The 21,306-nt window shown below is 44.3% G+C and overlaps 1 protein-coding gene across 2 annotated transcripts, besides 11 other annotated features; it reads right to left on the bottom strand.

The window, feature by feature from the left end:
• CRIPTO (cripto, EGF-CFC family member) lies at window positions 9,797-17,719 on the bottom strand. 2 transcript variants are annotated; one of them, NM_001174136.2, is made up of 6 exons: window positions 17,671-17,719; window positions 13,107-13,159; window positions 12,888-13,022; window positions 12,401-12,515; window positions 12,194-12,303; window positions 9,797-11,122 (listed from the first exon to the last, which is right to left on the bottom strand). In NM_001174136.2, the coding sequence occupies exons 2-6, from the start codon at window positions 13,144-13,146 to the stop codon at window positions 11,004-11,006; spliced, it is 519 nt and encodes a 172-aa protein (NP_001167607.1). In that variant the 5' UTR covers window positions 13,147-13,159; window positions 17,671-17,719; the 3' UTR covers window positions 9,797-11,003. The 2 variants fall into 2 exon arrangements, with proteins under 2 accessions (NP_001167607.1, NP_003203.1); NM_003212.4 differs by lacking the exon at window positions 17,671-17,719 and adding an exon at window positions 14,250-14,466.
• Window positions 12,071-12,842: an enhancer, noted in NCBI's record as "NANOG-H3K27ac hESC enhancer chr3:46620902-46621673 (GRCh37/hg19 assembly coordinates)". NCBI's record gives its function as "activates a minimal SCP1, AML or CMV promoter by ChIP-STARR-seq in naive H9 embryonic stem cells {active_cell/tissue: H9 hESC(naive)}" and the evidence as "EXISTENCE:reporter gene assay evidence [ECO:0000049][PMID:30033119]".
• Window positions 12,071-13,615: a biological region, named in NCBI's record as "hESC enhancers GRCh37_chr3:46620129-46620901 and GRCh37_chr3:46620902-46621673".
• Window positions 12,445-12,614: an enhancer, noted in NCBI's record as "experimental_70375 CRE fragment used in MPRA reporter constructs". NCBI's record gives its function as "activates a minimal promoter by MPRAs in K562 erythroleukemia cells, with activity observed for both the introgressed and non-introgressed 3:46621215 variant alleles {active_cell/tissue: K562}" and the evidence as "EXISTENCE:reporter gene assay evidence [ECO:0000049][PMID:34662402]".
• Window positions 12,761-12,930: an enhancer, noted in NCBI's record as "experimental_70374 CRE fragment used in MPRA reporter constructs". NCBI's record gives its function as "activates a minimal promoter by MPRAs in K562 erythroleukemia cells, with activity observed for both the introgressed and non-introgressed 3:46620899 variant alleles {active_cell/tissue: K562}" and the evidence as "EXISTENCE:reporter gene assay evidence [ECO:0000049][PMID:34662402]".
• Window positions 12,843-13,615: an enhancer, noted in NCBI's record as "OCT4-NANOG-H3K27ac hESC enhancer chr3:46620129-46620901 (GRCh37/hg19 assembly coordinates)". NCBI's record gives its function as "activates a minimal SCP1, AML or CMV promoter by ChIP-STARR-seq in naive H9 embryonic stem cells {active_cell/tissue: H9 hESC(naive)}" and the evidence as "EXISTENCE:reporter gene assay evidence [ECO:0000049][PMID:30033119]".
• Window positions 14,388-15,161: an enhancer, noted in NCBI's record as "NANOG-H3K27ac-H3K4me1 hESC enhancer chr3:46618583-46619356 (GRCh37/hg19 assembly coordinates)". NCBI's record gives its function as "activates a minimal SCP1, AML or CMV promoter by ChIP-STARR-seq in naive H9 embryonic stem cells {active_cell/tissue: H9 hESC(naive)}" and the evidence as "EXISTENCE:reporter gene assay evidence [ECO:0000049][PMID:30033119]".
• Window positions 15,132-15,301: an enhancer, noted in NCBI's record as "experimental_70373 CRE fragment used in MPRA reporter constructs". NCBI's record gives its function as "activates a minimal promoter by MPRAs in K562 erythroleukemia cells, with activity observed for both the introgressed and non-introgressed 3:46618528 variant alleles {active_cell/tissue: K562}" and the evidence as "EXISTENCE:reporter gene assay evidence [ECO:0000049][PMID:34662402]".
• Window positions 15,132-15,933: a biological region, named in NCBI's record as "NANOG-H3K27ac-H3K4me1 hESC enhancer GRCh37_chr3:46617811-46618582".
• Window positions 15,162-15,933: an enhancer, noted in NCBI's record as "NANOG-H3K27ac-H3K4me1 hESC enhancer chr3:46617811-46618582 (GRCh37/hg19 assembly coordinates)". NCBI's record gives its function as "activates a minimal SCP1, AML or CMV promoter by ChIP-STARR-seq in naive H9 embryonic stem cells {active_cell/tissue: H9 hESC(naive)}" and the evidence as "EXISTENCE:reporter gene assay evidence [ECO:0000049][PMID:30033119]".
• Window positions 16,707-17,479: an enhancer, noted in NCBI's record as "OCT4-NANOG-H3K27ac hESC enhancer chr3:46616265-46617037 (GRCh37/hg19 assembly coordinates)". NCBI's record gives its function as "activates a minimal SCP1, AML or CMV promoter by ChIP-STARR-seq in naive H9 embryonic stem cells {active_cell/tissue: H9 hESC(naive)}" and the evidence as "EXISTENCE:reporter gene assay evidence [ECO:0000049][PMID:30033119]".
• Window positions 17,480-18,252: an enhancer, noted in NCBI's record as "OCT4-NANOG-H3K27ac hESC enhancer chr3:46615492-46616264 (GRCh37/hg19 assembly coordinates)". NCBI's record gives its function as "activates a minimal SCP1, AML or CMV promoter by ChIP-STARR-seq in naive H9 embryonic stem cells {active_cell/tissue: H9 hESC(naive)}" and the evidence as "EXISTENCE:reporter gene assay evidence [ECO:0000049][PMID:30033119]".

The following is a 21,306-nucleotide window of genomic DNA, read 5'->3' as shown; positions in this document are numbered from 1 at the left end:
TTCAATGTTATCTTCTAGAATTTTTACAGTTTCAGGTCTTAGATTTAAATCTTTGATCCATCTTTAGTTGATTTTTGTATAAGGTGAGAGACGAGGATCCAGTTTCATTCTCCTGCATGTGGCTTGCCAATTATCCCAGTGCCATTTGTTGAATAGGGTGTCCTTTCCCCACTTCATGTTTTTGTTTGCTTTGTCGAAGATCAGTTGGCTGTCAGTATTTGGGTTTATTTCTGGGTTCTCTATTCTAGTCCATTGGTCTATGTGCCTATTTTTATACCAGTACCATGCTGTTTTGGTGAGTATGGCCTTGTAGTATAGTTTGAAATCAGGTAGTGTGATGCCTCCAGATTTGTTCTTTTTGCTTAGTCTTGCTTTGGCTATGGGGGCTCTTTTTTGGTTCCATATGAATTTTTCTAATTCTGTGAAGAATGATGGTGGTATTTTGATGGGGATTGCGTTGAATTTGTAGATTGCTTTTGGCAGTGTGGTCATTTTTACAATATTGATTCTACTCATCCATGAGCGTGGGATGTGTTTGCATTTGTTTGTGTCATCTATGATTTCTTTCAGCAGTGTTTTGTAGTTTTCCTTGTAGAGATTTTTGACTCCTTTGTTAGGTATATTCCTAGGTATTTTATATATTTTTTGCAGCTATTGTAAAAGGGGTTGAGTTCTTGATTTGTTTCTTTGCTTGGTCGCTGTTGTTGTATAGAAGAGCTACTGATTTTATATACATTAATCTTGTATCCAGAAACTTTGCTGAATTCTTTTATCAGTTCTAGGAGCTTTCCAGAGGAGTCTTTAGGGTTTTTGAGGTAAATGATCATATTGTCAGCAAACAGTGACAGTTTGACTTCTTCTTTGCCGATTTGGATGCCCTTTATTTCTTTCCCTTGTCATATTGCTCTGGCTAGGCTGCCAGTACTATGTTGAAGAGGAGTAGTGAGAGTGGGCATCCTTGTCTTGTTCCAGTTCTCAGAACGAATGCTTTCAACTTTTCCCCATTCAGTATTATGTTGGCTGTGGGTTTGTCATAGATGGCTTTTATTACACTGAGGTGTGTCCCTTGTAGGCCAATTTTGCTGAGAGTTTTTTTTTTTTTTTTTTTTGAGATGGAGTTTCACTCTTGTTGCCCAGGCTGGAGTGCAATGGCGCGATCTTGGCTGACCGCAACATCCGCCTCCCAGGTTCAAGCAATTCTCCTGCCTCAGCCTCCTGAGTAGCTGGGATTACAAGTATGCACCACCATGCCCGGATAATTTTGTATTTCTAGTAGAGACAGGGTTTCTCCATGTTGAGGCTGGTTTCGAACTCCTGACCTCAGGTGATCCACCCGCCTCGGCCTCCCAAAGTGCTGGGATTATAGGCATAAGCCACCGCGCCCAGCTGAGAGTTTTAATTATAAAGAGATGCTGGGTTTTGTCTAATACTTTTTCTGCATATATTGAGGTGATCATTGATTTTTAAAAATTCTGTTTATGTTGTGTATCACATTTGTTGACTTGCATATGTTAAACCACCCCTGCATCCCTGGTATGAAACCCACTTCATCATGGTGGATTATCTTTTTGACATGTTGTTGGATTCAGTTAGCTAGTATTTTGTTAAGGATGTTAGCATCTATGTTCATCAGGGATATCGGCCTGTAGTTTTCTTTTTTGATTACGTCCTTTCCTGGTTTTGGGATTAGGGTGATGATGGCTTCATAGAATAAACTAGGGAGGGCTCCTTCTTTCTCTATCTTGTGGAATAGTATCAAAAGGATTAGTACCAATTCTTCTTTAAGTGTCTGGTAGAATTCTGCTGTGAATCCATCTGGTCCTGGACTTTTTATTGTTGTAATTTTTAAATTACCATTTCAATCTCGCTGCTTGTTATTGGTCTGTTCAGGATATCTAATGCTTCATGATTTAAGCCAGGAGGGTTGTATTTTTCCAGGAATTTATCCATCTCTCTGAGGTTTTATAATTTATGTGTGTAAAGGTGTTCATAGTAGCCTTGAATGATCTTCTGTATTTCAGTGGTGTCAGTTGTAGTATCTCCCTTTTCATTTCTTAATGAGGTTATTTGAATTCTCTCTCTTCTTTTTTTGGTTAATCTTGCTAACAATTTATCAATTTTATTTATCTTTTCAAAAAACCAGCTTTTTGTTTCATTTATCTTTTGTATTTTTTTGTTGTTGTTGTTTCAATTTCATTTAGTTCTGCTCTGATCTTGGTTATTTCGTTTCTTCTGCTGGGTTTGGGTTTGGTTTGTTCTTATTTCTCTAGTTCCTTGAGGTGTGACCTTAGATGTCAGTTTGTGGTCTTTCAGTCTTTTTGATACTGGCATTTAGGGCTGTGAACTTTCCTCTTAGCATGGCCTTTGCTGTATCCCAGAGGTTTTGATAGGTAGTGTCATTATTGTTGTTCAGTTTAAAGAATTTTTTTTTTTTTTTTGAGATGGAGTTTTGCTCTGTTGCCCAGGCTGGAGTGCAGTGGTGTCATCTCGGCTCACTGGAAGCTCCACCTCCCGGGTTCACGCCATTCTCCTGCCTCAGCCTTCCGACTAGCTGGGACTACAGGCACCTGCCACCAAGCCCGGCTAGTAGAGACGGGGTTGGTGAGATGGGGTTTCACTGTGTTAGCCAGGATGGTCTTGATCTCCTGACCTCGTGATCCACCCGCCTTGGCCTCCCAAAGTGCTGGGATTACAGGCATGAGCCACTGCGCCCGGCCCAGTTCGAAGAATTTTTAAATTTCCATCTTGCTTTCCTTTTTGACCCAATGATCATTCAGGAGCAGATTATTTAATTTCCATGTATTTCCATCGTTTTGAAGTTTCCTTTTGGAGTTATTTCCTGTTTTATTCCACTGTGGTCTGAGAGGGTACTTGATATAATTTCAATTTTCTTAAATGTATTGAGACTCATTTTGTGGCCTATCGTATGGTCTATCTTGGAGAAAGTTCCATGCGCTGTTGAATAGAATGTATATTCTGCAGTTGTTGGATGAAATGTTCTGTATATATCTGCTAAGTCCATTTGTTCCAAAGTATAGTTTAAATCCATTGTTTCTTTGTTGAGTTTCTGTCTTGATGACCTGTCTAGTGCTGTCAGTGGAGTACTGAAGTCCCCTGCTATTATTGTGTTGCTGTCTATCTCATTTCCTAGGTCTTTTAGTAATTGTTTTATAAATTGGGGACCTCCAGTGTTAGGTGCATATATGTTTAGGATTGTGATATTTTCCTGTTGGACAAGGCCTTTTACCATTATATAATGACTCTCTTTGTTTTAACTGCTGTTGCTTTAAAGTTTGTTTTGTCTGATAGAAGAATAGCTACCCCTGCTCGCTTTCGGCGTCCATTTGCATGAAATGCCTTTTTCCATCCCTTTAAGTTTATGTGAGTCCTTATGTGCTAGGTGAGTCTCCTGAAGGCAGCAGTTAGTTGGTGGGTGATTTTTTTATCCATTCTCCAGTTCTGTATCTTTTAAGAGGAGCATTTAGGCCAATTACATTCAATGTTAGTATTGAGATGTGAGGTACCATTTCGTTCATTGTGCTATTTGTTGCCTGTGTGCCTTGTTTTTTTTGTTTTTTGTTTTTGCTTTATAAATTGTATATTTGTTTTATAGGTCCTGTGTGATTTATGCTTTATAGCGGTTTTGTTTTGATGTGTTTCCAGGATTTGTTTCAACATTTAGAGCTCTTTTTCAGCAGTTCTTGTAGTGGTGACTTGGTAGTGGCAAATTCTCTCAGCGTTTGTTTGTCTGAAAAAGACTGTATCTTTCCTTCATATATGACGCTTAGTTTTGCTGGATCAAAATGCTTGGCTGATAATTGTTTTGTTTGAAGAGGCTGAAGAAAGGGCCCCAATCTTTTCTAGCTTGCAGGGTTTCTCCTGAGAAATCTGCTGTTAATCTGATAGGTTTTCCTTTATAGGTTACCTGGTGCTTCTGTCTGACAGCTCTTAAGGTTCTTTCCTTCATCTTAACTTTGGATAACCTAATGACAATGTGCCTAGGCGAGGAGCTTTTTGTGATGAATTTCCCAGGTGTTCTTTGTGCTTCTTGTATTTGGATGTCCAAGTCTCTAGCAAGGCCGGGAAGTTTCCTCGATCATTCCCCCCAAATATGTTTTCCAAACTTTTAGATTTCTCTTCTTCCTCAGGAACACCGATTATTCTTAGGTTTGGTCATTTAACATAATCTCAGACTTCTTGGAGGCTTTGTTCATATTTTCTTATTTTTTTTTCTTTGGTTGTGTTGGATTGGGTTAATTTGAAGACCTTGTCTTTGAGCTCTGAATTTCTTTCTTCTACTTGTTCAATTCTATTGCTGAGACTTTCTTGAGCATTTTGCATTTCTATATCTAATGTTTCCTGAAGTTTTGATTGTTTTTTCTTTATGCTATCTATTTCCTTGAATATTTCTCCCTTTACTTCTTGTATCCTTTTTGGATTTTCTTGCATTGGGCTTCACCTTTTTCTGGTGCCTCCCTGATTAGTTTGATAACAAACATCCTGAATTCTTTTTCAGGTAAATAAGGGATTTCTTTTTGGTTTGGATCCATTGCTGGTGAACCAGTGTGATTTTTTAGGGTTGTTAAAGAGCCTGTTTTGTCATATTACCAGAGTTGGTTTACTGGTTCCCTCTCATTTGGATAGGCTCTGTCAGAGGGAAGGTCTAGGGCTGAAGGCTGTTGTTCAGATCCTTTTGTCCCATGGGGTGTTCCCTTGATGTAGTACTCTCCCCCTTTTCCTACGGATGTGGCTTTCTGAGAGCCAAGCTGCAGTGATTGTTATCTCTCTTCTGGATCTAGCCACCCAGCAAGTCTACCAGGCTCTGGCTGATACTGGGGGTTGTCTGCACAGAGTCCTGTGATATGAACCATCTATGGGTCTCTCAGCCATGGATACCAGCACAGTATTTGGGGTGTCTCCCAGGTCCTGCAGGAGCAGTCCACTTCCTTGAGAGGGTCTGTGGGTCCTCTCGGGATTGCCGGTTTGTTTTTGCACTCGTTCTGGAGCTAAAATTCACCATGTGAGCCTCCGCATGCTACTCTGTCCATCCGAGTTGGAGCTGCAATCTCAGCACTACATTTTAAGGCTCATAACCACTTCGTAAGGCCTATTGACATCCATGCCAGCTTTTAAAATGTGGGCTGTCTTTGCTGTGCTCCTTGAACAGCCTGTGAGGTTGTCAGCCCTGGGGTGCCAGTGGCAGCCCAGGATGCTTTCCCATTGTGTGTTGTGGGCTGCCTCTGATTAAATGGGGGTTCAAATCCTTTAGCTCCTGACTTCTCAGCCACACTCGCCAGGTCGGTAAAGCTTCCTCCACCTTCAAGTCTTCTCACGGGTTGTTCCTCCTTCCTCTATCTGGTCCTCAGGTGCTCAGCAGGGCTGACCCTCAGCTCTTTCCTTAGCAAACAGTCATAGAGGGCTCATCCCTGAGCTGCCAAGCCCTGCCCTTGGCTCTAGTGCTGCCTTCCCCAGGGCCTCCCCTCCATTCCTCCTGTTGGCTCCTTTGATGAAATTTGGTAGTCTCTTTTTATTCTTTTTAATTAACGAGTGCATGTGCAATAGCTGACAAAATCTGTACAGCTGACTACTCTCCAATGTTGGTAGAATCAATGTAGGGCCAACTGGTTTTGTCAGCTGTAGAAATGTTTAAAGGTGAAGCTTTTACAAAATGATAGCTCCAAGACAAAACAGTGAGCTCACAGGTAACTGCATTCTTCCTGTTTGCTCATAGAAGGCACCTGGAGACTCCCCACTGGCTGGTAGAATTTGGAGTGACTGTGTCCCTGCTCCCGCATTTATAGAGGGGACAGACATGGACTGTCACCCATGCTCTGGGGGCGCTACAGATGGGAGATGTTCTTGCAGAAAAGTATGAAGAGTCAGACTCCCTGGGTTCTCCCCACGCAACCTTTTTTTCTTGTTTTGTTTTTTTGGTTAAGACTTTGCTGAGGCCAGAGAGGAGCCCTACCAGAGAATGTTGACAAATGGGAGTAGTGCATGGCTCCTGATTAATGTCTAAGCTAAGAAAGAAGCAGTTAAACATTAACTGTTGCATGATTATTGCAACAGCTAAGTCCTGAGGTGACCTGTGAAATGGCACATATAGTTTCATAAAATAATACACAGTTGACCCTTGAGCAACATATGTTTGAATGGCATGAATCCACTTATACACGAATTTTCTTTCATCTCCACAACCCCTGAGACAGCAAGGCCAACCCCTCCTCTTCCTTCTCCTCCTTGGCCTACTCAACATGGAGATGATGAGGATGAAGACCTTTATGATGACCCACTTCCACTGTATGAATAGTAAATATATTTTCTCTTCCTTATGATTTTCTTAATCATCTTTTCTTTTCTTTAGTTTCAAGAATACAACACTTTATTTCAAGAATACAACATATAATACACATGACATACAAAATACGTGTTAATTGACTGTCAATTAGGCTTCTGGTCAACAGTAGGCTATTAGTAGTTAAGTTTTGGGGGAATCCAAAGTTATACATGGACTTTCAACTAAGCGAGGGGTCAGTTCCCCTAACCCCTGTGTTGCTCAGGAGTTAGCTGTGAGGTAGAAGGATAATTGTGGAGCACAGAAGTTGTGATCAGAGAAGCTAAATGTTCAGTTATTGAAGCAGCACGGGCCAGGCAGTATACATGTGAGAAGGTCATGGGGGCACTCCTTGGGGGTGGATTAGAGCATGTTGGCTGCTCCTGGCTTAGTGTCTGTCTGGGACTCACCCTTGACTGACAGGAACTGCTGAGGCCAAGGAGGTGCTTCCTCCCAGGGAAGACTCTAATGCTGTGGGGGTACAAAGTTTCAGCTCAGGTGATCCACAGGGGTATATTTTGGTACTCCCTGCCCAATTTGAGCTTGAGAAGGGCATGGGAATCAGGGATTTAGACCCCCTAGGGATGAAGGTTTGGTCACCCCCACCAGGTAAGCCACATACAAGAGCAGAGGTGCTAGCTCAGGGCAAGGGGAGGCAGAATGGGTACAGGAGGGACATGTACCTCAGTTTTCTGTTGTGCTCTGAGATCAGCTGCAGGAGAGGGGACTGTAGTCTGCCCCACCAATCCTACTCTGTTGAAGTTCACCCAGGAAAACTGATCATTCAGAATCCTGGAGGAAATGGAACCAGCAGCATGAGCGGTGGACTGTGATGAGACCCACCTTCTCCCAGAGGCTGGGGGTGTTAGGTATGAACTGTCCTTAACTCAAAGGAGTCCACTTACCCAAGGCCATGCGCCCTCCCGGGGGCAGCTTGTGCTCCATTACCATTGATGTGGGGGGGGTAGAAAGACCTGGTTTCTTGCTTCAGCTGGGGACAACTCTGAAGGGCCACCCCAGTTCCAGAACTCCCCATGGCTCCAGAGCTCCCCATCACACACAGCAATGCAGGTGAGGTGTCTGCTGACTGCAGCATCAGTGTTCCCTCTCCCTGGCTGGCAAGGGCTGCACCCAGGGCACTCCTCAAGAAACCCCTCTGGGATGAGTCTCTTCGGGAACCTCATCTCAGACACGTTCTAAAGCAACTGCTTCTACCAGTGTTGCGTTTCCTCTAATTTTCTTTTTTTTTTTTTGAGATGAAGTCTCACTCTGTCGCCCAGGCTGGAGTACAGGGGTGGGATCTTGGCTCACTGCAACCTCTGCCTCCCAGGTTCAAGCAATTCTCCTGCCTCAGCCTCCCCAGTAGCTGGGATTATAGGCACACACCACCACACTCAGCTAATTTTTGTATTTTTTTTTAGTGGAGATGGGGTTTCATCATGTTGGCCAGGCTGGTCTCAAAACTCCTGACCTCAAGTGATCCATCCACCTCGGCCTTTTCCCAAAGTGCTGGGATTACAGGCGTGAGCCACCATGCCTGGCCTCTAATTTTCTTTTATTTAACATGCTATTGTTGTTTAAAAAATTTTTTGTTAAATTACCCATAATTATCCTATTCAGAACTGACCGCTTTAATGTTTTTATGTTTCTTACCTTTTAAGAATTCTAGTTGAGACCATACTGTCTTCTCCCTTTAACACCTGACATAGTATCTTAAGTATTTCTCCAGAGCATTAAAAATCCTTTCTAAAGATGATTTTTTAAAGGTGATGTAATATTCCATGGTGGAGGCTGAGCTCTGATAAGTAAACCATTCTCTGATGTCAGGCCTTTAAAACAGCACCCATTGGCTGGGCATGGTGGCTCACGCCTGTAATCCCAGCACTTTGGGAGGCCGAGGTGGGCGGATCACAAGGTCAGGAGATCGAGACCATCCTAGCCAACACGGTGAAATCCCGTCTCTACTAAAACAACAACAGCAACAACAACAAAACCCCAAAAAGTTAGCCGGGCATGGTGGCGGGCGCCTGTAGTCCCAGCTACTTGGGAGGCTGAGGCAGGAGAATGGCGTGAACCCGGGAGGCGGAGCTTGCAGTGAGCAGAGATGGCGCCACTGCACTCCAGCCTGGGCGACAGAGCGAGACCCTGTCTCAAAAAAAAAAAAAAAAAAGTTTGACACATGCTACAACATGGATGAACCTTGAAGACACGATGTGACACAAAAAGACAAATAGCGTATAACTCCCCCTACTGGAGGTATCCAGAACAGTCAAATTCAGAGACAAAGTAAGTGTGGTTACCGAGGGCCTGGGGAAGGGCAAAGGGGTAGTTAATGTTTAATAGGTAGAGTTTCAGCTTGGGATGATGAAAAAGTTTTGGAAATAGATGGTGGTGACTGTTGCACAACAATGCAAATGTACTTAAATGCTACTGAACTTACAAATGATTAAAATGGTAAATGTTATGTATATTTTACCACCATAAAAATAAGTTGATATAAAGAAAAGCATAAGCACAGATGACGTGGCTTAAATCAAGAACCCATCTCTGTAAAAAATAAGCAAAATTAGCTGGGTGTGGTGGTGTGCTCCTGTGGTCCCAGCTACTTGGGAGACTGAGGTGGCAGGAGTGCTTGAGCTCAGGCAGTCAAGGCTGCAGTCAAGACTGCTCTGAATGCACCACTGCAGTCCAGCCTGGCGGAAGCATGAAACCCTGTCTCAGAAAAAAATAAATTCTATTTCTGGCCCCAAAAATGTTTTTAAACCCTCTGCGGTAAATATGCAGGTAAAAAGAGAAGAAAATGTGACATTTATTGAGAATCTATTTTGTATAAATGTTTTAACTATTTAACTATTTTATGTCACTTAGTTCTAATACTGTGATGTAGGCACTAATCCAGATTCAGATTAGGAAGCTGGGTCCCACTGTCAGTAAGTGGCCAGACCACCTTCCAAATTCAGCCTGTCTACCTCCTGATTTTGTGCTTTCTGGTACACCTCACTGCTTCCTGCTTATTCCATTTTACTTTCTTTCCATTGGGCATTGTAAAAAATGTCACCTATTTGGCAGTTTGCATCTGCAGGGAATTAATTTGGAAAAACACAAATTATGGTACCTAAATAATAGAAGCAAATTTTGTCCTTCACAGAAGAACACACACGTCAAAGCTAGAAACAGAACTGAGCACTCACCTGGGACTTGGCTCTTCTGGTTTCCTTTGTTTTGAGCCAGATGTAGTTGCCATATTCCATATGAAATCAGTACAAATCAATAAGGTGAAAGGGTTCTGTGACCAGTCATGGTAGGGTATGGGGAGGGAGTTGCCAGGGACTTTTAGGACCCTGGAAAAGATATAACACATCCTCACCATGGTACTTTGGAAAATGCAAAAAGGGCATCAAGAGCAAAAACCCACCACCATAAAGCACCTCACCACCTAGAAATAACCAGTTCACATTTAGGTCAATATAGTTTCCATTTTTACTGTGCATACACATATATACAATGTATTTTAAAAATGGGCTTTACAATATGTAGTTTGATCACTTGGTTTACAACTAAATATATTGTGAACATTTTGTCTTCTACAACAGTTAAAAGAATTGAATAGCTTGGAGGAAACACAATTTATTAAGCAATCTTGTTGGGGACATTGAGGTATAATTTTTTTTCTAAGGAGGCTTCATTCTTTTTATAATGCCTTTGGGAAAAAAAGGGGAGTTCTTGTCTTATATAGCTTTCTATAGATGATGGAAACTTGCCCTTCCATTTAGCCTTTTTACTTGCTTCTCTACCACCACCTAATCACCAATCAAGTAACCCATTTTGTTTTTCAACCTCTCTCTTCTATTTGCTTCCTCTTTCCTACCCAGTCTCCCTGCACACACGCAGATGGACTTCCATTCCTTCAGCACTCTGGTTCCTCCCCTTAAAGATGTTTTCTTTCCTTTTAAAGAGACTATTTTAATTGATTTTGATCAACTCTACTCAAAACTGTATTCTAAGGTCCACATTAGAATTAGTCTCCAATAATCTGAACATATAATTCAATCATTTAAAAGAACATATTAAGAAGACCTTGGTAGAATTACATGTATCAAGAAACACCAGGCCTTGCACAGTTGCTCACGTGTGTAATCTCAGCACTTCGAGAGGCTGAGGCGAGTGGATCACAAGGTCAGGAGTTCGAGACCAGACTGGCCAATATGGTGAAACCCCCATCTCTACTAAAAATACAAAAAAATTAGCTGGGCATGGTGACACATGCCTGTAATCCCAGTTACTTGGGAGGCTGAGGCAGGAGAATGGCTTGAACCCCGGATGCGGAGGTTGCAGTGAACCAAGATCGCGTCATTGCAGTCCAGCCTGGGTGACAGAGTGAGACTCCGTCTCAAAAAAAAAAAAAAAAAGAAACACTGGACTTAGGCACAATGGAGATATGGCTGACTTTCTTTTGAAAAAAGAAGTAGTTTTTTGGGAGAGGGCAGGGCAAAGAAGTAAGAAGTAGTTCTGTAAGGAAATGTTAGAGACCATTTTGGAAATGTATTCATTATTTTAAGGCAACTACAAATGATCATCTTTCAGTTAGGACATTGTAGCAGCAGCCTTTACTGGTCATGAAATTTGCATGATATCTAAAATTGTATTTCTGGAAATAGGTCAATGTCGATTAATAGTAGCTTTGTATAGAAAGGCAGATGCCAACTAGCATAAAAGTGGTAGTACGTGCAGACGGTGGTAGTTCTGGAGTCCTGGAAGCCACGAGGTGCTCATCCATCACAAGGCCATCTGGAAGGTAGGGATGCTTGGTCATTAAAGCAAACCTCTCTGGCAGTTCATCCTGCTGCCCACAAATGTGGCATATCTATACGCTACTGTGAACCTGCTCTTCTCAGGACACTCACACCTGGAACCTAGCCCAGTGGTGATGCCTTCACTTGCAGGAATGAGCACAACCTGGTTAGATTCTGATTGGGCCCCATGTTCCAGGAAGAGAACATGTTCCCTACACATCCAATCACCCAACCCACACTTATCAAACACCTATCCTGAGCCTGACACCCAGGATGCAAATGGCAAAGACACAATCCCTGTCTGGATTGGGGAATTCCTTCCTGTTCTCAGTGAAATGTTTGCTTTCATTTACTTCCTGGACTTGAATATTTTCCATTTCTAACATCTCCAAGGCCCAGAACTATAATAGGTCTCTGAATTTGGGGGGCCCTAGAAACCTGGCTCAGGCTAGGGTGGAGAGAGGACTGTCGCCTCTTTTCCTCTCCAGGTGCTGCCCTTCTTTTCATTGTATTCCTCAAATCAGTAAAAATCAAGAAGGTGAAAGGGTTCTGTGACCAGTCATGGTAAGGGTTCTGTGACCAGTCATGGTAAGGTATGGGGAGGGGGTTACCAGGGACTTTTAGGACTCTGGAAGTTTCTAAAGGACTAGCAAGGGGCCAAGCCTCTGATAGAATTTGTCGTCAGGGTGGGCTCTAAATGAGCTGCCCATCCTGGTTTGGGTCCCCCTACCCAAAGGAAAGGAACACCAGAGAACATCTCTTGGTTTAACAAGAGACCGAGACTTGTTTATTTTCCTCAATAGAAGTTCAGACCATAAAATGTCAAATAGACTTGAAATACATCTCTATCTGAAAGGCAGCAGGACTAGCCAGGTTCCCGAGGAAATAAATATCAAAGAGGCCAAGGCAACTATCTCATCAGGAGTCTGCGATGCTTTTATAAGCAGAACTTTGGCTGCCAGGCTCTAGCAAGACAAGAGGTACAAGGAGAGCCTGCTAACTAAGCACCCCCCAAGGCAACTACGTAACTTCAAAGGGCAAAAGAAAGAGGAGAACCTCCGCTTACCACAGCCGGGTAGAAATGCCTGAGGAAAGCAGCGGAGCTGACCGTGCCAGCATTTACACAGGGAACACTTCTTGGGCAGCCAGGTGTCATGGGGCACAGACCCACAGTTCCTGAGAATGAACAGGTAAGGCGATAGCCTTGGGTCTGAAATTTCCACTTCCCTTTCTCTCTCCTCTCCACGGCTCCCCGCCCCTCTGAATTGCTTACTCTTTGCGCACATCGTGCTCACAGTTCCGTCCGTAGAAGGAGGGAGGGCAGGCACAAAAGGACCCCAGCATGCAGGTTCCCCCATTCAGGCAGCAGGTTCTGTTTAGCTCCTTACCTGAAAGGTAAGAACAGATGACTGAGGGTGTAGGGATGGAAAAGTGCAAGGGCAATTCCTGTAAGCGAAGGTTAATACAACACCAATGTGTTGTATCAGAGTAAGTCTCTGTGCCTTTGAGCAGAGAAGTCATTTTCATGCATAGGCCAGTGGTGGTTCTGGGTTCCCCAGTGTGAAGTGGACTCAGGGGAGGAAAACTGCACTCTAGGGAAGTAAAATACACAATCCTTGTCTCACTTCCAAAACCAAAAGCAGTCCAGCACCTGCACAGTTCCAGAACCAGGTGCCCTTTTAGGTGAAAGAGTGTTGGAAAGATACTCAGGAGACACATGAAGGGCCAGGGCAGAAGCATCGAAGTCAGGCAGTTCTTACTGTGCTGTATCCCCATGGGCGGCACACGCTGGGAAGACCGAGGCCGAATTGCAGGCTCCTCCTGGGGCCAAATGCTGTCATCTCTGAAGGCCAGGTATCCCCGAGATGGACGAGCAAATTCCTGATGGCCCAGCCCTTAACGACAAAATCAATTCATGGAGTCTGTATTTTAGGCCACATAAAAATTGAGAGTGATCAAAAGAACAAAAGGTCTCTCACCGGCAACTAATCCCAGTTCAAAGACTTTAGAAATGGCCATGATCCAAATCACACTAGGAAGAGGAAGTCAGACATGAGTTAGCCAAACAAAGGAAATAAAACCTTACAAGTTAACACCCAGGTCCTCTCATCACAAGGACAAGACCACAGATCACTGAAAAGAAATTGTAGAGCACCATCTTTCTTTTTTTAATGGCTAATTCATGTAACAAAGAAAAATGTTGAAAAAAAGTCACCAATATCCAAGTCTTTTTAATATATATTATTATTTCTTAGGCCCTGTCCTCACATAAGTACCTAATTTTAAGTAGGTATATGTCTTTTATCTTCTATTTCACATGTTTTCCCCTGCATACAATTTTCATATAAGGATTAAAAAATAGCTGCATCCCATGTTACCGATGAATCATTTTACAAACTACTGTATTTATTTATTTATTTTTGAGAGGGAGTTTCGGTTTTTCACCCAGGCTGGAGTGCAATGGTGCGATCTCGGCTCACTGCCTCCCCTCCCCAGTTCAAGCAATTCTCCTGCCTCAGCCTCCAGAGTAGCTGGGATTACAGGTGCCCGCCACCATGCTTGGCTAATTTTTGTATTTTTAATAGAGACGGGGTTTTGCCATGTTGGCCAGGCTGGTCTCCTGACCTCAGGTGATCCACCCGCCTCTGCCTCCCAAAGTGCTAGGATTACAGGCGTGAGCCACCGCACCCGGCCAAACTATTTTAACCAATCACTTAAAAGGTTTTTAGGTAAAAAATGTGGGTTTTTTTTTTTTTTTTTGCTATTATCTTAATAGTTTTGCCAAGTATTGAATCTGCTTATACCTTTAATCTTTTCGGAAGATTTTAAATTTGGTTGTAGTACTGACCTTTATTTGTACAAGAATAAAGAAACACTATTTCATAGGCAGAGTCATTAACATAAAATGAAAATTAACATTAACACGAAAATGTTAAAAGCCAATGGCAAAGTTAGAAGTAACCATGTGAAATTCCAGGTCTTTCAGGAAAAACAGCAGTGCGGTTGGCAGCTCTTTTAAGGCTTGAGCAAGAGAAAAATCAAATGACAGGTGTAGAACATTACTTCCTAAGCTGGCAATCTCTAGCAATCAAAAAAAGTTCACATTCAAGATTAGCTCATACCTGTAAGAGAAGCGGGCCATCTTCCTGCAGTCCATAGCTTTTAACAATTAGGGGGAAAAGAGGCGTTAGCATCGCTTTAATTCAGAGTCATTGCCAAAACAGCCAAAGGAAAACATTCATCTCCTAAAGCGAAAATGGCAATTTAAGAAGAAAATGAGAAATTCGTTTTCCCCAGAAGGTCGTAGCAGAAGCAGGAGCAAGGCGTCCAGGGGAAACTGGAGGGCTTTCGGCCTTGGACGTTTTGACCTTGAGCTGGAGACTCAGCCTTTCCGGGGATTCTCCTTCTTCAACAACAAACCCCAGTCGGGGCGGGGAGACCTTTCAGGTGGGCGGGACGCCCACCAGCATGACAATGGCCCACACGCGGGAAGAGGAGTCTTGTAAAACTGTGGTTAACTAGCCCTAATATCTCTATCATTAGTTGCAGGCTAAAATGATCAGAGGTACTCTTTTGGGAAAAAAAAAGAAAAAAGAAAAATCAGTTTCTCTAATCAAGTTGGTGATTCCAGGTTGGAGGGGTGGTGGAAAGTAATTGCTTTAATTAGGAAAACCTGAAAATGTATGGGTCTCAAGGCATTCGATATTTTATTTTATTTCAGGAAGTTTTACTTCCTGAAATTTGCTTCCACCTTTGTTTTTCCAGAAGGGTGTTTTGAGCCCCGTACTCCCCCTGGGGGATACCCGGGTGGCCAAGAAAGGGGTGCTCTCCGCCTGAGGAGCTAGGTGTGTGTGTGTGGGGAAGACTAGGAAGCTTGAAACTGAGATAGAAGTTCAGGGTCAGGAGGGGTTCCTTGGGGGCTCCAGACTTGAAGTGCAAATTCCAGGCGGACGTGAATTCCTGAAAGGACGCGGGAGCCGGCGCCAGGTGCCCGGGAGAGGGGAGGGGCGGCCAGAGGCGCAGCAGCTGGGACTCTCCAGTGGGAGTGCCGGCCTGTTCCAGGAAAAAGTTCTAGAACCACGGCAGTCCGGCATGGGAGGCCATTTCAGCCCCCAATCACGGGAATTTATCTCAGCCTCCCAGCTCCCACAGGGCGGCCTCTTCCAGCCCCTCGCCGTCCTGGCCCCACGACACCGAGAATTACCCCCGGACTCTGATGTGCCGCTTGCAGGGGTAAACGTGTTTATTGAGTGGTTCCACTAAGTGCCAGACGCCCCAGATGGAGAGGCGCGTCTATGAGCCGGAGTCGCCTCACCTAACATTTCAATCCTCCGGGTTATTTCATGTGTTATTAAATACGCCCAAAGTCGTTAATAGTTTCTAAATCGCATTTAATTCCAATTTCTAAAGGAAAGCCTGACGGTTACTTAATGTTGCCAGGCACACAAATGCGAAACTTTTATTAGATAGTTGTTTCCATCCATCTCTGTTTATTGGATTTAGGCCTCGGCAGAAAGAATTGGTAGCATCTGAGGCCATTTCAGCGTCAGTGCCTACCTGTGTGAATGCCATGGATCCACAGGTGCTGGGAAGAGGTGTTATTTACTTCTACACATGATTTTTTTTTTTTTTTTTTTTTTTTTTTTGCGACAGAGTCTCCCTCTGTTACCCGGGCTGGAGTGCAATGGCACGATCTTGGCTCACTGCAACCTCCACCTCCTGGGTTCAAGTGATTCTCCTGCCTCATTCTCCTGCCTCAACCTCCTGAGTAGCTGGGATTACAGGCGCCCGCCACAACGCCCGGCTAATTTTTGTATTTTCAGTAGAGACAGGGTTTCACCATGTTGGTCAGTCTGGTCTCAAATTCCTGACCTCATGATCCACCCGCCTCGGCCTCCCAAAGTGCTGGGATTACAGGCATGAGCTACCGCGCCCGGCCTTACACATGATCTTGGGAGAAGCAAACGTAAAATAATTTGTATTGGGGGAGTGAGGCCCCATCCAGTCAATGGTGGGATGCAGCAACATTTCCAACTCCACAGCAGTTGACTATTTCATTCCTGCTGCGCTTCGCCTCCTCCCTGTGTGGCCTTTTCAGGTGAAATGCTTCAGGTAGCATGCTGAGATTCACAGGGGACAGGGGAACATGGCCTGAAGCTCTAGGAGGCCGGAGGTGGGGGAGGGCTCCGCAAAGGAGAAGGCTAGCCCTGGAGCTGCAAGGAGGTTTAAAGATGTTACTCAGTGTGGTACATTTGTAAGGTAGCTTGTGCACCACAGTCCTCACCAGTCCAAGGTGCTAAGTAGATAAGTAGCGCCCACAATATTAGTCTCACTTTATGGACAAGACAACTAGTTCTATTGGGGGATTTGGATGTCTTGTCTTTAGAGACTGGGCAGGCCTGTGGCAGAACTGGCAAAAGAACACACCCCTGCGTTGCTATTTCCTTATCTAAAGCTCTTGTGGAATTTTTAGAGCTTAAATAGGACCCCTGGAAATCACTGCATTTTCAGAGGAAGTAACTGAGGTCTCCAGTCTGGCGATGTTGTCATTGACGGGACCAGAACCCCAGGATGCCAGCTTTTCAGCCACACAAAATCCCTTCTCTAAGGACCAGAACCCCCTGAAGAGATTCCCATTCCCCATAGGTACTGACTGCAGAGGAAGCCAAGTGGATCCAGGGTATTCAGAGCCTGGGCCAGGTTTTGGGATGGGGGGTGGGGAGAAGGGGAAGGGAAGGGCTGTGGTGTTTAAGAGAGGTTAGATATTTGCCGTTGGGCTGGAGATGTAAGGGCTATTTAACAGGTATTTGATGTCTACTACTGGGCGGCCTGTAGACTGGAGTTTGGCGCTGGAGAAACAGTTGTGAGAAGTAACCCCACTGTGAGGCTGGAGAGAAAGAACAGTAATTGTTGATTCTAATTGTACTAACTGCAAAAAGTTGTTGCTGCCTCCAGGTGGGGGAATTGAATGGCTACCCTAGGATGGCCACTGGTCACCTCTGCTTGGTCACTGTTGAAACTGGGCTGCTGGCCAGCCTCCAGGCCAATGAGTGCTTTGTGTCAAAAGGTCAGGCCTAGGATTGGGAAGTGCTGTGCAACGGGGGTTCCCCAATCACAGGCAGCCCATCTCATCCCTTACAAAAGGCACTGAGAGCAGAAAATGAAAAACAATGCTCTTGGTGTTGGCCATTTCTTGGTACTGCCCTTGAGACATTGTGTATTAAAAACTGGGGCAGAATTGTGTTTAAAAATCACACAAATAAGCATTTGACTTAAAACCATCCAAACAAGAATGGTGGAATGAAATACATCATAATCAAAGGACAGACTTCCTGTGTCTGCCTAAAATTCAAGGAAGAAAATAAACTTGGAGAATGGGATCAATTTTAGCTATCAAAAGCCAATTCGACCTTGTTTAAATAGTTGAGAACACGTAGAACTAAATTCCAACCAAAGAGTTAACAAAAGAATGCCATGTCTGCACTACAATGACAGTATTTCAAGGTAAAAGCCTTCTTTTATCATAGGGCACTTAGGTCTTACCTCTGTCATTGTTCCCTTGAACATCCAGGCAGGCCAGAAGATAAGAGAGAGCAGAGGGGGCGGGGGAGTTCTGTATATGTATGTACCCTCCAGCTGAGGAATGCTGGGGCCTCTAATTTCATCAAGCTTAGCTTCTGTTAACACCTGAGCTACACTCCTGCGGAAGCATTATCCACCCAATGTGTCCTGGCCACACTTCATTAACAAGTTAATGGCTTTCTGTTTTCACTGGCAAACTTACAAATTGCAACTGGAAACTTACTCTGTATTTGCCAAAGGTCTCTGTGTGGGACATAAAAGGACAGATTCCTGCATTCAAAAATCTGCAATTTCAGTGGGGAAGACATGCTCAAGCAAGTCATTTTAGAGCCATATTGTTACATAAATGGCGTAAGAGGAATGGAGAAGGGCTTAAGAGAGGACTTCATTTTTTTTCCGTGCGCCATGGGGGCCGTATCATATTTCTTCCTATGTAGACATAGTATACATTATTTTATCAATGAATAGACATGACATGTTTCCACGTTTTGTGGTGAACTTCCTTGTACATATATCTTGGTGAACGCTTGAGAGCATATTCCTCTTGTAAATTTCTAGCACTGGAATTGCTTGGTTAAAGGGTGGATGCTTCCAAATTATTTTCGAAGAAGCCTGCACCAATCTCCTCTCCGCCCCTCCTCCCTCCCCCTTGAGTTGGTATTGAGAGCTTATCTCCCAAGTACTTACCAGGTCTGGCTGCAGCAAGCATCTTAAATTTTGTTAATACAGTATGTGAAAAGTAGTATTTCATTGTTGCTTGGTTATTGGGTGTTTGTATTTCATTTTCTATGACCTGGCTGGTCCTTCTTACAGAGCACTTGGACTGGCTTCTTTGAGACTCAGCCCAAATTTCATTTGCTCTGGGAAGTCCTTGCTGAGACCATCCTCCCTACTCCAGCTTCCAGCTGTTCTGAGAGCCCTGTCCTGGCAACCACCGTCCCCAGATTTTATCTTGTCTTCACTGCATATATATATATATATATATATATATATATATTTTTTTTTTTTTTTTTTTTTTAGATGGAGTTTCACTCTTTCTGCCCAGGCTGGAGTGCAATGGCGCGATCTCAGCTCACCGCAACCTCCACCTCCCAGGTTCAAGCGATTCTCCTGCCTCAGTCCCCTGAGTAGCTGGGATTACAGGCATGAGCCACCACACCTGGCTAATTTTGTGTTTTTAGTAGAGACGGGGTTTTACCATGTTGGCCAGGCTGGTTTCAAACTCCCAACCTCAGGCAATCTGCCTGCCTCAGCCTCCCAAAGTGCTGGGATTACAGGCATGAGTCACCTTGCTCGGTCTCACTGTATTGTAAACTGCTTTGTGTGTGTGTGTGTGTGTGTGTGTGTGTGTGTGTGTTTGTCTTTCACCAACTCTTCCCCCTATCCTTTATTCCCTTGGACTAAGAGGTCCAGAAATCTGGTCTTCCAGAAACCTTAGCTTCTCCAACCTCTAGTGCAGTGTTTACCTGTGCTGATTTTCTTTTGGCTTAGTCTTTCTCCACCAGCCACATCTGTGACAGACACATATTAAATCTCAGCCCTATTTTCTAAAATGGGGTTGGGGCGAGGGCAAGGTCCTTGAGAAGTGCCACAGGAAAACAACTTGTTTCCTCAAGCCTCATCCTAGAAATAAAACAAAGAATACCCTCTTCCCCCAGCAAAGAAGGGAAAAAAGACAAATTTGAAATACGTAACCCAAACCACCACTGATATTCTGGGCTGAATTCTGGGCAACTTGTTAAGAGTATTTACCATATACGGCCGGGCGCGGTGGCTCACGCCTGGAATCCCAGCACTTTAGGAGGCCGAGGCGGGCAGATCACGAGGTCAGGAGATCGAGACCATCCTGGCTAACACAGTGAAGCCCCGTCTCTACTAAAAATACAAAAAATTAGCCGGGTGTGGTGGTGGGCGCCTGTAGTCCCAGCTACTCAGGAGGCTGAGGCAGGAGAATGGCGTGAACCCGGGAGGCAGAGCTTGCAGTGAGCCGAGATCGCGCCACTGCACTCCAGCCTGGGTGACAGAGTGAGACTCCGTCTCAAAAAAAAAAAAAAAGAGCATTTAACACATATAAGACAAGATAATTTTGATGTACTTACTGGGAACCATGTTAGACTATGGAAAATCTGATTTAACCTTTTTTTTTTTGAGATGGAGTTTCACTCTTGATGCTCAGGCTGGAGTGCAATGGCACGATCTTGGCTCACCGCAACCTCTGCTTCCCAGGTTCAAGCGATTCCCCTGCCTCAGCCTCCTAGATAGCTGGGATTACAGGTGTGCGCCACCATGCCTGGCTAATTTTGTATTTTTAGTACAGAAGAGGTTTCACCATGTTGGCCAGGCTGGTCTCGAACTCCTGACCTCAGGCAATCTGCCTGCCTTGGCCTCTCAAAGTGCTGGGATTACAGGCATGAGCCACCGTGCCGAGCCCTGATTTAGACTTTTAGACATAGCTATAATTTAGAATTCTTTTACACTAAAATCTTAATTTTTTTCAATTAAATTCAACAAATATTTACTGATCAGCTATCTGTGCTTAGCACGATGGGGTAGACAGAGATTTCCAAGGTAGGGCTCCTGCTCCCATCTCCCCTCCCCCGAGATAAGACAAGCCCAGTAATCTAAATGAAGTGCCATTTTAGTGTGATCAGTAAGCTGCTGATGGTGAGGAGGCAGTCACTTCCTAATTTCCTACCAACCAAGTCAAGGCCATTTGGCCCCAGCAGACAGATAGATGGGCAGACAGACTCCCAGGAGTTAGACTTGGGAGGCAAGCTGGGGTCTCACTTGGTTTTCATGACCTGGACAATCTAATTTAAAAGTGCTTCTTAAGCCGGTGGGGTGGCTCATGCCTGTAATCCCAGCGCTTTCGGAGGCCAAGGCAGGTGGATCACCTGAGGTCAGGAGTTTGAGACCAGCCTAACCAACATTCAGAAACCCTGTCTCTGCTGAAAATACAAAATTAGCCAGGCGTGGTGGCGGGTGCCTGTAATCCGAGCTACTCAGGAGGCTGAGGCAGGAGAATTGCTTGAACCCGGGGGGCAGAGGTTGTGGTGAGCTGAGATCAGGCCATTGCACTCCAGCCTGGGCAACAAGAGTGAAACTCCATCTCAAAAAAAAAAAACAAAAAAAAAAAAAACAAAAAAACAAACAACAACAATAAAAAAACAAGTGCTTCTTACGTGGTGGATTTTGTATTTGATCACATACAGCTCTTAATGGCTATTTTATTTTTTTGAGATGGAGTCTTGCTATGTTGCCCAGGCTGTAGTGCAGTGGTGCCATCTTGGCTTACTGCAGCCTCTACCTGCTGCTGGGTTCAAGTGATTTTCATGCCTCAGCTTCCCGAGTAGCTGGGACTACGGGCACGTGCCACCACACCTGGCTAATTTCTTTTCTTTTCTTTTTTTTTTTTTTTGAGACGGAGTCTCACTCTTGTCTCCCAGGCTGGAGGGCTGTGACACAGTCTCAGCTCACTGCAACCTCCACCTCCAGGGTTCAGATGATTCTCCTGCCTCAGCCTCCTGAGTTGCTGGGATTACAGGTGCCTGCCACTATGCCTGGCTAATTTTTTGTATTTTTAGTAGAGACAGGGTT

Source organism: Homo sapiens, chromosome 3 (assembly GCF_000001405.40).
Source record: "Homo sapiens chromosome 3, GRCh38.p14 Primary Assembly".
Taxonomy (NCBI): Eukaryota; Metazoa; Chordata; class Mammalia; order Primates; family Hominidae; genus Homo; species Homo sapiens.
Note: the sequence above shows the minus strand (reverse complement) of the source record. Positions and strands in the feature narration are given on the sequence as shown.